This window comes from Homo sapiens, chromosome 14, assembly GCF_000001405.40.
Source record: "Homo sapiens chromosome 14, GRCh38.p14 Primary Assembly".
Lineage (NCBI taxonomy): Eukaryota > Metazoa > Chordata > Mammalia > Primates > Hominidae > Homo > Homo sapiens.
The window spans coordinates 70,207,932-70,224,060 of NC_000014.9; the positions used below are offsets into that span (position 1 = coordinate 70,207,932).

At 38.9% G+C, this 16,129-nt stretch overlaps 1 long non-coding RNA gene and 1 pseudogene across 3 annotated transcripts in view, besides 1 other annotated feature; one reads left to right on the plus strand and one right to left on the minus strand.

The window, feature by feature from the left end:
* Positions 1-16,129, plus strand: part of LOC646548 (ADAM metallopeptidase domain 20 pseudogene) — a 45,476-nt pseudogene that overhangs the window by 20,824 nt on the left and 8,523 nt on the right. The gene's annotated exons all lie outside the window — the stretch shown is intronic.
* On the minus strand, positions 285-15,487 carry LOC107984686 (uncharacterized). 2 transcript variants are annotated; one of them, XR_001750796.1, is made up of 3 exons: positions 15,329-15,487; positions 4,627-4,718; positions 285-309 (listed from the first exon to the last, which is right to left on the minus strand). It is a non-coding gene; the product is annotated as an uncharacterized LOC107984686 (long non-coding RNA). The 2 variants fall into 2 exon arrangements; XR_001750795.1 differs by lacking the exon at positions 285-309 and adding an exon at positions 2,426-2,462.
* Positions 6,028-6,228: a silencer, noted in NCBI's record as "peak2187 fragment used in MPRA reporter construct". NCBI's record gives its function as "represses an SCP1 promoter by STARR-seq MPRAs in K562 erythroleukemia cells {active_cell/tissue: K562}" and the evidence as "EXISTENCE:reporter gene assay evidence [ECO:0000049][PMID:32103011]".

A 16,129-nucleotide genomic window follows, 5' to 3' on the forward strand; every position in this document is an offset into this window, starting at 1 on the left:
TTACAATTTTAAATTATGTTCATAGATATCATCTCCTTAGAAACTAATAATAATCCTCAAAGGTAGACATTCTTTCATTTGACAGATAAGGAAACAAAGGCTCATAAACTATTAAGCAATTTACTTAAGAGTACATGGTTAGTGGAGTGTTGGGATCAGAACCCCTGGCTCTGACTTCCAGCTCAGGATTGTTTCTTCCATTGTACACTCCTTTCTGCAGAGGAGTCTTGCAGTCTTTGGTAGTCTTTATTTGCTCAAAAAAAAAAAAAAAAAAAAGCATTCCCATTGGTAAGAGGTTTCAATGCAGAACTGCAAGAGAATAAAATATTGTCATAGTGCCATGTTAAGTGCCTGGGATGCATAAAACTCCACAGAAGTTTCTGCAGCTGCAAGGATGCCATTGAGGTCTTCTCCCATCACTGCCCTTGGACACTAGTAATGGTCTCTGAGGTTCAGAGGCTAGGTCCAGATCAGAAAGAATATGTTTGTGTCATGAAAAAGAACACAAAGGAAACACTCAGAAAAAGGCTGGGGCTCTAGAGGGATTCCCCAGAGGAGAAGATGAAAGAAATGAACTAGACAAAAACAAAAGAAAGTGAGGTTAAGGACAGGGATATGTTGTTCAGTAGTGATGACACATCATGGTGATGAGAGAGGGAGATGAAAGGTAAGTGCATCTCCAACACCAGACTTAGAGAGGTGGTAAAGCTGCTACAAAATCCCCTTCATAAGTGAGGTGGGGTGGGGGATGATTTATTCATTCATTCATTGATTACAGAATTTTCTTTTTGAAAGCCAATTATGCAGGCAACCTCAGAGACATTACAGGTTTAATTCAAGATCACAACAATGATCAGAACAAAGAGAGTTGCACAAATTTTTTTTGTTTCCCAGTGCATGTAAAAGGTATGTGTGCACTGTACTGTAGTCTATTAAGTGCAAAATACCATTATGTCTTTTTAAAAGTACATATCTTAATTAAAAATACTTCATTGCTAAAAAATGTTAACAATCACCTGAGCCTTCAGCAAGTTGTAATCTTTTTCACTGGTGGAGGGTCTTGACTCAATGTTTATGGCTGCTGACTGATCACAGGGGTGGCTGCTGAAGGCTGGGGTAGTAGAGGCAATTTCAGAAAATAAGACAACAATAAAGTTTGCCACATCAATTGACTCGCCTCATGAAAGATTTCTCTGTAGTATACAATGCTGTTTGATAGCATTTGCTTTGCAAAACAAAAATGTATTGAATTTATATTATATGTATTATATATGTATATATTATATATGTGTATTATATATAATATATGTGGATATATTATATATATGTGTGTATACATATATATGTATATATATGCATGAGGTTTGGACATGTGTGTGTGTGTGTGTGTGTGTGTGTGTGTGTGTGTATATGTATATACCTAGAGAAGAGAGAAAGTGAGATATTTTAATGACAGGAAAACTTTTTTCAAAATTGAATTCAATCCTCTCAAACTGTGTCACTGCTTTACCAACTAAGTTAATGTACTATTCTAAATCCTTTGTTGTCATCTCAACAGTGTTGATAGCATCTATACCAGGAGTTGATTCCATCTCAAGAACCACTTTCTTTGCTCCTCCATAAAAAGCAACTTCTCATCCATTCAAGTTTGATCATGAGGTTACAACAATTCAGTCACATCTTCAGGCTTCATTTCGAATTCTAGTTCTCTTGCTATTTCCACCATATGTGCAGTTACTTTCTCCACTGAAGTCTTGAACTCCTCAAAATCATCCATGAGGGTTAGACTCAACTTCTTCCAAACTCCTGTTAATATTGATATTTTGACCTCTTCCCATAAATCATGAATGTTCTTAATGGCATCTAGAATGGTGAATCCTTTCCAGAAGGCTTTCAACTGATGTTGCCCAGATCTGTCAGAGGAATCACTATCTGTGGCAACTATAGCTTTATGAAATTTATTTCTCAAAGAATAAAACTTGAAATTTGAAATTACTCCTTGATTTATGGGCCGAAAATGGAAGTTGCACTCACAAGCATGAAAACAGCATTAATCTCCCTGTACATCTCCATCGGAGCTCTTGGATGATAAGGTGCATTGTCAATGAGTAGTAATATTTTGAAAGAAATCTTTTTTCCTGAGCAGTAGGTCTCAATAGTGGGCTTAAAATCTTCAGTAAACTGGCCAGGTGTGGTGGCTCACACCTGTAATCCCAGCACTTTGGGATGCCGAGGCAGGCAGATCACCTGAGGTTGGGAGTTCAAGACCAGCATGATCAACATGGAGAAACCCCGTCTGTACTAAAAATACAAAATTAGCCAGGCATGATGGCACAAGCCTGTAATCCCAGATACTCCGGAGGCTGAGGCAGGAGAATCGCTTGAACCCAGGAAGGTGGAGCTGCGGTGAGCCCAGATCATACTACTGCACTCCAGCCTGGGCAACAAGAGCGAAACTCCATCTAAAAAAAAAAAAAACTTCAGTAAACTACAATATAAACAGATGTGCTGTCATCCAGGCTTTCACTGGCAGAGCAGATTTAGCATGATTCTTAAGGGCACTAAGATTTTTTGAATGGTAAATGAGCATTGGCTTCAACTTAAGTCACCAGCTGCATTAGCCCCTAACAAGACAGTCAGCCTATCTTTTGAAGCTTTGAAGCCAGGCATTGACTTCTCCTCTCTAGCTGTGAAAGTCCTAGGTGGTAAGGCTATTTCATCTACATTGAAAATCTGTTGTTTAGTGTAGCTACCTTCATCAATAATTTTAGCTAGATCTTCTGGGTAACTTGCTGCAGCTTCTCCATCAGCACTTGCTGCTTCACCTTATACATTTTGTTAGGAAGATGGTTTCTTCCCTTAAGCCTCATGAACCAACCTCTGTTAGCTTTCAACTTTTCTCTGCAGCTCCCTCATCTCTCTCAGGCTTCCCAGAATTAAAGAGAATTAGGGCTTTGCTCTGTAACAGGCTTTGGCTTAAATAAATTTTGTGGTTGGTTTGATCTTCTATCTGGACCACTAAAACCTTTCCATATCAGCCATAATGATGTTTTATTGTGTTCACTGGAGTAGCAATTTTAATTTCCTTTAAGAACTTTTCCTTTGCATTTGCAACTTGCTAACTCTTTGAAACAAGAGGCCTAGAATCTCAGGTTTTAACATGCCTTCCTCACTTGGCTTAATCATTTCTAGCTTTTAACTTAAAGTGAGAGATGTGCAGCTCATCATTTCACTTGAACACTTAGGCCATTGTAGAGTTACTATATGGCCTAATTTCAATATTGTTGTGTGTCAGGAAATAGGGATGCCCAAAGAGAGGGACAGAGATGGGAAAATGGCTGCTCAGTGGAGCAGTCAGAACACATACAAAAATTTATCAATTGGGTTTGCCATCTTACATATATGCAATTTGTGGCACCCCAAAATAATTACAATAGTAACATCAAAGATCACTGATCACAAATCACTATAACAGATAAAATAATAATGAAAAAGTTTGGAATATTGCAAGCATTACCAAAATGTGACACAAAGACACAAACATGAGCACAGGCTGCTGAAAAAATGATGCAACGGCCATGCACAGTGGCTCATGCCTATAATCCCAGCATTTTGGGAGGCTGAGGCAGGAGGATTGCTTGAGCCCTGGAGCTTGAGACTAGCTTAGGCAACACAGTGAGAACTTGTCTCTACAAAAAATAAAAATAAAAAAGTTAGCCAGGTGTGGTGGTGCACAACTGTAGTCTCAGCTGCTCAGGAGGCTGAGGTGGGAGGATCACTTAAGCCCAGGAGGTTGAGGCTGCAGTGAGCTATGATAGTGTCACTGTGCTCCAGAACTGGGTGACCGAGTGAGACCCTGTGTCAAAAAAAAAATGATGCCAATAGACTTGCTTAATGCATGGTTGCCAGAAAGCTTTAATTTGTAAAAAACATAAACCTACAAAACGTGATAAAATGAAGTGTGATAAAACAAAGTATGTCTGTATATGGCAGTGTTCTAGTTGCCCAGATACATAAGTAAATAAGAGAAAATTCCCACTGCATCATGCTTCTAGTATAATGGAGGAGAGGGATAATAAACAAGTAAAGTAGGGTATATTTTTATAAAACTTCAGATAAAAATCAGTGATATGAAGAAAACTCAAGCTGGGTATTAGAGAGTGACTGCGGTGGGATATGTTTTGGTGGCAATTTAGATTGAATTTTAGGGAAGCTACTATGTACTATGTGGCCCCCAAATTCATATGTTGAAGCCTTAATCTGCAATGTGATGGTATTTGGAGGTATGGCCTTTAGGGGGTGATGAGGTTTAAAGGAAAACATGCAGGCAGAGCCTCCATGATGGCATTAGTGCCCTTGTAAGGGGATGAAGAGGCTGAGCAATTTCTCTCTCTTCTCCCCATTTGAGGATACAGCAAGAAGGCATTCCACAGAAAACCAGGAAGACGGCCCTCACCAGAACCTGAATAGGCCAGCACCTTGATCTTAGACTTCCCAACCTTCAGAATTGTGAGGAAGAAGTATCTGTTGTTAAGCCACCCAGCCTATGGTAGTTTTGTTATAGCAGCCCAAAGTGACTAAGGCAGAAGGTCTCTATAAGGAGGTAACATTTGAGCCATCACTTACATGAAATGAAGGAATGAACCATGTGCAGATTTTGGGGCCAGATGAGCAGCCAGTGTTTTTGAGGAGCAAGAAGAAGCTGTCTTTAACAGAACCTAGCAAATGATAGAGAGAGTGGTGAGAGATGATGAGGGAAGACCTGCACCTCTGGCTGCTGGTAAAGCTGGATAGCCTATAATCCCAGAGGTTTTTAGCTTGATTTCATCTTCTCTAAATACTTTCTACCTAAGATATGACATCATTCTTGATTTAAGTAGTCTTCTTTTTAATGGAAGGCTGCTACCCTTCATGGGGCCTTGGTTACCTACCTGCAAGGTACTCAGCCTGTTGCATGTTTGCTCACAGTTTAGAAGTCAAAAGAGCTAAAAATAGCAAAGTCCCCAATGGAGCACAGTGATTAATCTGTTAAGTTCCCTGGAGGGCCAGGAGCAGCAGCAGGCCAAACAAGCCAGGCCTCAAGCACCCTGGGCAGTCTTTCCCCTAGGAAATCATCACGGAACTTCTGGTGTTGATCTGTTTATTAATCTCCCCTTCACCAGTGAGAAATGCACTACTTGATGAAAATAAAACAACTTTTGAAAGATATGCTCCTTCCCAAGATGGTGCATAGACCAGCTGTTGTGACAGCATCTTCCATGACACTAATTAAAAAAAGAAAAAAAAAGCTTATGATTTTACCTGATTATGAAAGCAGCGCATATTTATTGTTGGGAAATTAGACATGCAGAAAAGCATAAAGAAAAATCATCCAAATACCACCACCTGGAGATAACTATTATTAAGTTTTCTAATTTTATATAATTACACACATATATGTGGATATATCTGAGGTCACTTGGTAGCTACAATTTGGTATTCTAATTTTAAATTTTGCGTTATATAGTAATCACTTTCCCATTGACACTGCGTTTTAATTTCACAGACTGGCCTCTAGGCTCTAGAGGCACCAAAGAAAATAGTGCAGGGAGAGGCTGGGATTGGCAAAAGCCAAAATTATGCTCCATGTGGTCGTTTTCTGGGGTAAATGTCATGTTACAACCTTGGCAGGCTCCTGGCTCCCCTCCCCAATTCATAAGACCTCATCCAAAGTAGATAGGGGAGACTCAGACTTGGGGACTGGTTTTTAGAGCAAATTATTATACTTGGTGTGTAGCTGTCAGTCAGACTTGTTTCAGTGCATAACACATGCTGAGGAACACACACACACACACACACACACACACACACACGGCATTCAAAGCATTTAAAACTGCCCATCATGGCATACACATCCTGACTTTTACCCTAATAAGCTGGCCCTTCTAATCAGGGGACTTGGCTGATTCTTAGTCTTAAAAGATAAGGGGAGCTGTCTTCAACTAAAATACTAGCAGAGATTTACTGTTCTCTGCTTGACTTATAACCACAACTTCAGTTCCCTCCGTATTTTTGGCCCAGCTGAGACTCTTATTGGTCTTTGGAATGAGTCAGCCTATAGAAGATTTTAGTCTTCACATTTTTACCTTTTTTGGTGTCTTTGTTATCTTTTTCATTCTGTGGCCAAGGATAATGCAGGAACCACAAAGAGACATAATCCACTTCTTGACCAGCCCTAATCACAGCATATAGGTAGGCAACTTCTTTATTGCCCTTTCTTGCTTATCAGAGCTCAGAAGATGGTATGAGATACGACATCACATGAGTAGCAGAGACTGTTAGCTGCCTAACAGCCATTTCCCCTTTCTTTTCCCTTGACTGCAGTAAGAGTGAAGATCAAAAAAGGCACACAAAAGGTAGGAATTAAAGGGCTCAATAAATACAAATTGTAATTGGTCTAAGCCAATCATGGGACCCTGAAGCCTCTTTGCCAGATACTCACATTTTGGCCTGCCTTACAGTTAGAGATGGCCATGTGATTCAGTTCCCACCATGGGAACAGGAGAAAATCTGGGAAATTCTTTCCTGATGAACAGAAGAGGTATTTTTCCTTTGCCCTCTTTTTCTCATCTTTGAATGTAATTAGCATGAAGCCCTGATGCTTAGAGCTGTGGCAGCCTGCTCATGACAGTGAGATGATGAGTATGAGGATGAGAAGCCAGTCTGCTAATGATGCTGGTGTTGAAGGATGGAAAGTGTCTGGACTCCCGATCACATTTGTGAGTTGCTGATCAGCTCTGGAACTGCCTACTTCAGGAATCCTTCTTAAGGAAAAAAAAAAAGAGAGAGAGAGAGAGAATTTCTTACAGCTTAAGAAACTCTTTTTTGGAGGTAAACCTGTCTTAATGGACACAGGCCATTGGTGGTCAATAAAGGAAAAGCCCAACTTTTCTGAAGGGCAGCCTCAATATTATAGTACCTGCAAACTACAAATACAAACAAATTCAATTTCGAGAGTTGATCAGTTGGGCTAACAAGATGGATTTGTGCTTCTACTGGTGGAAACTGACCTCTCTAGAAAATGGACAGATTTACATTAGAGAGTGGGCAAAGCAGAACCAACCAGAATCTATATTCCACAATGCCTTGAGTATAGGTGACATGACAGACTTTTTTTTTTTTTTTTTGAGACAGAGTCTTGCTGTGTCGCCCAGGCTGAAGTGCAGTGGCATGATCTTGGCTCACTGCAACCTCCACCTCCTGGGTTCAAGCAATTCTCCTGCCTCAGCCTCCCCAGTAGCTGGGACTACAGGCGCATGCTGCCACACCAGGCTAATTTTTTGTATTTTAGTAGAGATGGGGGTTTCACTATGTTGGCGAGGCTGGTCTTGAACTCCTGACCTCGTGATCCGCCCGCCTTGGCCTCCCAAAGTGCTGGCATTACAGGCGTGAGCCACCGCACCTGGGGCTGACAGACTTTTAAATGTGTTGTTTGTTGTTAAGTCTAAAACAGGTTGAAATTAGTACTTATGTTTTTGATAATAACTAACAGAAAAGAGTTAGATTAATGAATAGAGAGACCTCCCAAAGAGCTTTGAACAGGCGCTGAGGAAGAGCGTGGAGTTGTATCCATCTCAAAGCAGATGGTACAAATTGGAAATGCCTCTTGATTTCAGTTACCTGATAACCAAACATTTTGATTTCCATAAATGTTTTGTTGGTGAGTAGTTATTCATTTTGTAAATTCATTCATTGACAGTTTTAAATGGTCCTCTTCTCACAGCATCTAAAATATTATTGGATGCATACAAAAATTGAATCATGAAATCTCTTCAGGAATATGGTGTTAAGGAAAGTGTCTGATCTTTGAAGTGAGGCCAGTAAGAATTCAAATTTTAGTTCTGCTACTAACTATATGTCACCTTGGGCATATTACTTTGCTTTTTCACCCTCATTTCTTAAATGAAAATAATACTAATCACAAAAAGGCCATTGGGTGATTTGAGTAAAAAATGTAAAGTACAGGATATGTAGTAGATATTGGTAAGTAGTAGCTTCTGTGTCAATTAGGGTCTAATGGAAATAGATGAAATATTCTAATTAGGATATTTTAAGATTTTTTTCTCCATTTGACCTAGCAATCCCATTACTGGGTATATACTCAAAGGAATATAAGTCATTCTATTATAAAGATACATGCATGTGTATGTTCACTGCAGCACTATTCACAATAGCAAAGACATGGAATCAACCCAAATGCCCATCAGTGATAGACTGGATAAAGAGAATGTGGTACATATACACCATGGAACACTATGCAGCCTTAAAAAGGAACGAGATCATGTCCTTTGCAGGGACAGAGATGAAGTTGGAAGCCATTATTCTCAGCAAACTAATGCAGGAACAGAGAACTAAACACTACATGTTCTCACTTATAGGTGGGAGCTGAACAATGAGAACACAAGGACACAGGGAGGGGAACAACAAACACTGGGGCCTGTTGGGGGAGGGCAGTTTAGGGGAGAGCATCAGGAAAAATAGCTAATGCATGCCAGGCTTAATATCTAGGCAATGAGTTGATAGGTGCAGCAAACCACCACAGCGTATGTTTACCTATGTAACAAACCTGCACATCCTGCAAATCTACCCCAGAACTTAAAATAAAATTAAAAACAAAAAACAAACAAATTTTTTTCCTACAAATAAACTATTTTCAAAAGTGAGAAGAACTTAGGAGAATAACATCTAGGAAAAATTTCCAGGGTAAATAAATGTAATTCACAAGGATGTTTATCACATCGTTGTTCTCTTAGTGAGTGAATCAGGAAACAATTCAAATGTCCAGGTACAGGGAATTGATCACATTCATACCGCTGAATAACAAAAAACCACCAAAAAAACACTGCAGAAGTAAATGCACTGATATTAAAATATATTAGTACTGTAGTGAAAAGAGCAGATTTTAAGATATCATTGAGAGTAGAATCTATTTTGTTAAAACTGCATGTATTTATATTTACAATCTATATTAATATATAGGTGTGATTATTTAAAGCCAGACCTTTAAGATTCTTGTTGAATCTTTAAAAAATTGTCAGCTTTTTTTTTTTCACTCCTAAAGGAGGTAGAGAGTGTATTTTATCTTCTGGAGGCAGGGGTGAGGGAATGGAGTGGAGGGAGCAGGTGGAACACCCTTAACCTCATTCAAATGATTTAGATGGAATGCTCAATATTCTGTTTGGTACTGGGTCTTCTCAAGTGTGTTTGAATCAGAGCTGCCTCTGAGACTCCGTAACTTCTTTGGGGTGGAGTTCAAGATGAGGATGGAAAGAATGTTGTTTGCCTGTGTGAATTTAGAGATGTGGATTTAGAGACTGCCTTGCCTCATGTTGCTAGTTGTGGTGAAGCTATTGATGTTCCTTTTTGATGAATTATATGCAGGTTAACTAAATCTGGGAAACTAAAAACTGCAGAAGGGACATGAAGCAGGATCTTCCCTGATGAATAGAAACTATAAAAAGTAATTGCACTGCCCATGGTTCAGCTCAACATGGGCTGGATGATTGATGTCCATGTGTGGAATGACTTAGGACAGAACACCCCCAAAGGCACAGTTGCTGGACTATTATGATCTGATCTAATTGTCTGGCTGAGGTGATACCTTTGAGGGTGGAGGGACGGAGTTTCCTTTACAGCAAGGGATCCAAAGTGAAATGACTACACTATGACAGGTAGGAATTATAATAGGAAACATATATAAATGGCAAGGAATGTTCCAAGGGTTTTACTTGAATTATTACAATAGATCCTTTAAAAACCCCAAGAAGAAGATATTATTTGTAGTTTAGTTGTAAAAATGAAGAAATCTATACACAGAAAGGTTAAGTAATTTGTTTATTGTTATAGAACCAATAAGTAGCAGAGCTTAGATTTGAATCCATCTGGCTCCACAGCCCTGTCTTTAGCCATTATGGTAGGCTACCTCTTTAAAGGAAGTGTAGTGTCCTTGAGCGAAGCTGCAGGAGATGGCAAACTGGGCAAATTGAAGATGAATCTCCCGACTAAAGAGATAGCTACAGGCTAGCAACTGCTGCTGTGGAGGAATGTGGACCCAGTGTTGCCATATCATTTGCGTTTTCAAGAGAAAAAGTCTGGATTTATATATGAAAATTCCCAGTTTTAAAATGTGCTGCTGAACAATAACACACACAAACAGGCACTCAAGTGTATGTATGCACACACTGAAACTCACACTACCAAGGACTAGTAGTTTTTGAAAACTATATTAAAGAGGATGGACATTTTTATGTTCAATCACCCTAAAAAGAGGAAATAATTGAGTAGATAAACCTTATATGGGAGGGAGAAAAAATTCCATTTATTTTCTTGTTGTTTTAAGCAAGTTACTTAATATCTCTGAGCCTCTGTTCCTTCATCTATAAATTGGGGTCAGGAGTTTGGAGTGGATAATTGTATTAGCTACATCATAGAATTTATGTGGGAGTTAAATCAGTAGCCAACTATTTACAATGCCAACCTGGGACACAGCCATACCAGAACAAAATAAATTAATACATATATGTTTTATATAATAATGTATTATTATACATATATATTATATATAATTAGAATTAGCACAATTATGTTGTATTACTTTAACAAAAATATGAAAATCAATGTTATTTGAAATTATGCATCATTGTGTATTACTTTTCTATTATATAATGCTATTATTTAAACAAAACAACAATAGGACTAGTTGATAGAATTAGTAGTAATAGGACTAATTAAATAAATCATATGTAAGAAAAATAAAACAATATTTTTACAATATTGCTTTCTGCCTTCTGATACAAGCAATTTATTTTAACTCCTTTGAAAACGTTGTATTGGATTTCTAAATTTAGTAGACTATAATATTGTGTATTCTTTTTAAAATAGTTTTATTGATAATTCACATACTACACAGTTTACTCACTTAAAGTCTACAGTTCAATTATTTTTAGCATATTCGGAGACGTACAGCCTTCGTCATAGTCAGTCTTAGAACATTTTCACCACCTTAGGAAGAAATTCCATATTCTTTAGCTGTCATCCCTCTCCCCTCCCATAACAGCTCTAAGCAGCCGCTAATCTACTTTGTGTCTCTGTGAATTTGTCAGTTCTAGATATTTCATATAAGTGGAATCATACAATATTTGTCCTTTTGTGTGTGGCTTATTTCACTTAGCATGCTTTAAAAGTTCACTCATGTAGTAGCATGTATCGCTACTTCACTCCATTTTATGGAATGAACGTTATTTCACTATATGGATACACCATATTTTGTTCATCCATTTGTTAACATTTGGGTTATTTCCACTTTAAGAAATTATGAATAATGCTGATATAAACATTCATGTATGAGTTTCTATGTGGGCATGTGTTTTCATTTCTTTTGAATATATGCCTAGGAGCAGAATTGCTGGGTCTTATAGTAACTCTATGTTTAATCTATTGTTGTACTGCGAGACTTTTCCAAAGAAGCTGGACCATTTTATGTTCCCACAAGCAGCATATGAGTGTTCCAGTTTCTCCACATATTGCCAATGCCTGTTGTTATCTTTTTTATTCTTGGCATCTTATGGGTAGTAGTATGGGTGAAGTAGTATCTCACTGTGGCTTTGCTTTGCATTTCCATGATGATGAATGATGACCAGCAACTAATAATGTCAAGCATCTTTATTTATTTTTTTTAAGAGACAGGATCTCCTCTGTCACCCAAGCTGGAGTGCAGTGATGTGATCATAGCTCACTGCAGCATTGAACTCCTGGGCTCAAATGAGCCGCCCGTCTCAGCCTCCTGAGTAGGTGGGACTAAGGTGCACCCCACCATGCTAGGCTATATATAATATATATAAATATATATTATATATAGCCCAGCATATACATATATAGTAGAGATGGTCTCGCTATGTTACCCAGGCTGGTCTCAAACTTCTGGCAACAGACAATCCTCCTGTGTCAGGTGACAAATAATCCTCCTGTCCTAAATGGCTGGGATTACAGGTGTGAGCCACTGTGCCTGGCCTTGGGTATCTCTTTATGTGCTTTTTGGCCATTTATATGTCTTCTTTGGAGAGCTCCTTTGCCTATTTTTAAACTGAGTGAGTTGTCTTTTTATTACTGAATTTAAAACTTCTTTATATATTCTAGACACAAGTCCCTTATCAGATATGTAATGTTCAAATATTTTCTGCCATTCTGTGGATTGCCTTTTTCACCTTCTTCGTGATGTACTTTGAAGCACAAAAGTTCTTAATTTTGATAAAGTCTAATTTTTTTTGTTTCTAATTTATTTTTTCTCATGGTTATGGTGTCCATATCTAAGAATTATTTGCCAAATCTGGCCAGGTGAGGTAGCTCATGCGTGTAATCCCAGCACTTTGGGAGGCCGAGGCGGGCAGATCACTTGAGATCAGGAGTTCAAGACCAGTGTGCCAACATGGTGAAACCCTGTCTCTACAAATACAAAATTAGCTGGGCATGGTGGTGCATATCTGTAATCCCAGCTACTTGAGAGGCTGAGACAGGAGAATTGCTTGAACCCAGGAGGTGGAGGTTGCAGTGAGCCGACATGGTGCCACTGCACTACAGCTTGGGTGACAGAGCGAGACTCTGTCTCAAAAAAGAAAAAAGAAAAGAAAAAAAAAGGCATGAGGTAGTGGTCTGTATTGGGCTGTTTTTTGCATTGCTATAAAGAAATACCTGAGACTGGGTAATTTATAAGAAAAGAGATTTAATTGGCTTACAGTTCTGCAGGCTGTACAGGAAGAATAGTGGCATCTGCATCTAGGAAGGCCTCAGGGAGCTTCTAATGATGGTGTAAGGCAAAGGGGGAACAGGCACATTACATGGTGAGAACAGGGCAAGAGAGAGAGAGTGAGGGCAAGGTACCACACACCTTTAAATGACCATATCTCAGGAGAGCTCAGAGTGGGAGCTCACTTATCACCAAGGGGACAGGCTAAGCCATTTATGAGGGCTACGTCCCCATGATTCAAATACCTCCCACCAGGCCCCACCTCCAACACTGGGGATTACAATTCAACATGATATTTGGGCAGGGACATATATTCAAATCATATGAGGGTCCAGCTCCATTTTTTGCATGCAGCTATCCAGCTGTCCCAGCACCATTTGTTGAAAAGACAATTCTTTTCCCATTGAATGGTCTTGGCACACTTGTCAACTATAAGTTGACCATAGATGTATCTTCTAAGATATATAAATGTAAGGTTTTTTAAAGTGCTCATGTAAATCAATAGGACTAATTGACACATATTGCCTACATTGAATAAAAAATAATAATGACATTTCTTTCTGCCCTATATTTTTACTTTCTGCTTCCTTTACCATAATCCTTGTCTGAACTGCTTGTAGCATTTAGAGCATGCTTCTTTTCTTTTGTGTAATATCAGTACTGAGCAGTGAAACATAAAATTCACTTTGACTTGCAGCTCCGCTCTTAGCAAGCCCACACTGTGCTGAATCTGGATATCAGTCCAATGTGATGACATAAAGCTAAATATTTTCTCACAAAAGCATGTGAACATGGAACGCTTAGGATTTTACTTCCTGCCAACAGCAGAAATTTTGGACTTGTAGGAATTAGTTTCCAGCTCTCCAAAAATGCCTATCCACTTTGTTTCTACAGGCTTGTTTTGACAGATTAGTTCTTTGTCAATCAAGCCCTTTGCATCTATAAATTCATCATATAGGCTATTCATGGTTTAAATGCTCAAAAAAAAAAAAGTCTAAAACACATTGGATGCCATCCTAAGCTGAACTTTTCTTTCTCACGGAAAATGGTTTTGAGGCATATAGGTAATTTGCACTTGTGAAATTGAAACTGGAGTCCAAGTAAGTTACAAGGTGGTAAAAAAAAAAAAAAAAAAAAAAAACATTGAGAAGTCCTGTTTAACTTGGCTTTTTCCAGCGCTTTTTTTTTAAGTTCTAAAGCTGCACACTTAACCTGCATTACTCGAGGATGCAATAACGCATGATTAATTATTGCAAACACAAATTACAATTGCCAGCATCAGCGGGCAAGGGGAAATCAGAGACAGTGGCTATGAAAAAGAGATAATTTATGTTGTATCATTTGATAATAAAAGCAATGTTGTTTTTAGCCTTTGTTCTTTGAACCACTGTATGAATTTTGTACTTCTCCCCCAACCTTCCACATCCATCACTGAAAACTGGGGCTTTTCTTCCTAGTGAGGGGTTTCATGGGACCAACACTTGCGATACTAAAACTGGGACAATCTTGGGCAAACCAGGATCGTTGGTCATTTCAGTCAATTAAATAAGGCAATGCATGTAAAGTACTTAGGATGATGCCTAGGATGCAGAAGTGTTCACAAGGGTGTCAGGGAAGTCGAATCTGAATTTAGGGGCACAGAGATACTCAGAGTTTTCCCAATGATGCAGATGAATTCACTGTACCATATGAAGGTAGGTAAAGAACTTGGAAGAGTGGTACCCAATAAGGGACTCTGAGATGGACTCAAGCTTGTAGTCTTATTTCATTGTTGTTTATGAATCTCTAACAAGCTATATAGACAGCTTTAGCTAGGCTTTTTTATGAGAACCATTAGCAAGGATGACAGCAGTAGGGCAGCAAAAATGACAACAGGGAAGGACCATGCTGGACTGTTTCTTAATATATGAAACTTAGAAAAAACAACCGGGGGCACATTTTCATGTTAATTCCTTGCATTTTAGGGTTAACAAGTAAAATTCAGGATACCCAGTTAAATTTGTGTTTCAGATAAACAACAAATTTTTAATGTTAAGTAATGTAAACAAAATTTTAATGTAATATTTAAAATGTAATTTTTAATATTGCATGGGATACACTTATACTAAAAAATTATTCATTATTTAGTCAAAATTCAAACTGAACTAGGGATCCTATATTTTTATTTTCTAAATCTGGAAACTACTCTACGGGCAAGTGGGAACTTAAGAAATGTAAACTTATTTTTAAATTACAACATGGGAAAGCACAGAAATTGAGTGACCATCTAATGGACAACTGAAAAGATAGAAATGATATGTTAAAAACTGTTATTGAATGTCAATGTTACTGTGATTTTAATTTACTTTTCCTAATTTCTCATTTTTCCTACATTATTATATGTTTTTAAAAGTAATATAATACATAATTATAACCAATATATCATTAAAAATAAATTATAAACATAAAATTTCAATGATGAAAAGTTCTAGAGAACCTCCTAAAAAATGCATTAGTCATAACTGGCTAGCTGTTATAATACACAGCCTCAAAATTTCAGCAGCTTACCCCAGTGAAAGTTTATATCTTCCTCACATAAAGACAAAATGAGTATTTCAGATCAGAGGGCAGCTGCTCTTCGGATGAAATTCAGGGACCCAATTAGCCGGGCGTGGTAGCGGGCGCCTGTAGTCCCAGCTACTCGGGAGGCTGAGGCAGGAGAATGGCGTGAACCCGGGAGGCGGAGCTTGCAGTGAGCCGAGATCGCGCCACTGCACTCCAGCCTGGGTGACAGAGCGAGACTCCGTCTCAAAAAAAAAAAAAAAAAAAAAAGAAATTCAGGGACCCAGGTTACTTCCTTCTTCTTGTAGGAAAAACTCGGTTCTTGCGACACGACGAGGAAAGATTAGGCACGGAGACACTTTGAAGGGTGAGAAGTTACGGAATGTATTGGGTGAAAAGGAAAAAGATTCTCAACAAAGTGAGAGGGGCTCCTGAGTGAGAGGGGCTCCTGTTAACAGGCCCCCACGTCACAGACTAACTTGCCGGTTACCGCACAGGAACGGGAGGGGCCGACTCCTCCCCATGCAAACAGCGGCAGCTTCCCGAGGCCCCACCGCTTCCTCCCAGCGCGTAGGCCAATGGGAGATTTCTCCAGGTCAGTAATCCGATTTTTCGGCCTTCAGGCTGTTTTAGGCTTGAAGGCGGGTTTTGCCGGGGACCCTTGGTCGCCCCCTGTCTGTATCACTGTGGCTCCCCTATCTCCAATACATGGCTTCCAAAATTGATATGAGGTCGTTTCCATCTTTATTCCAGCCATGTCAAATGGGGAAATGAGTATGGAGAATTTTGAGGGGAAGGACATTGAGG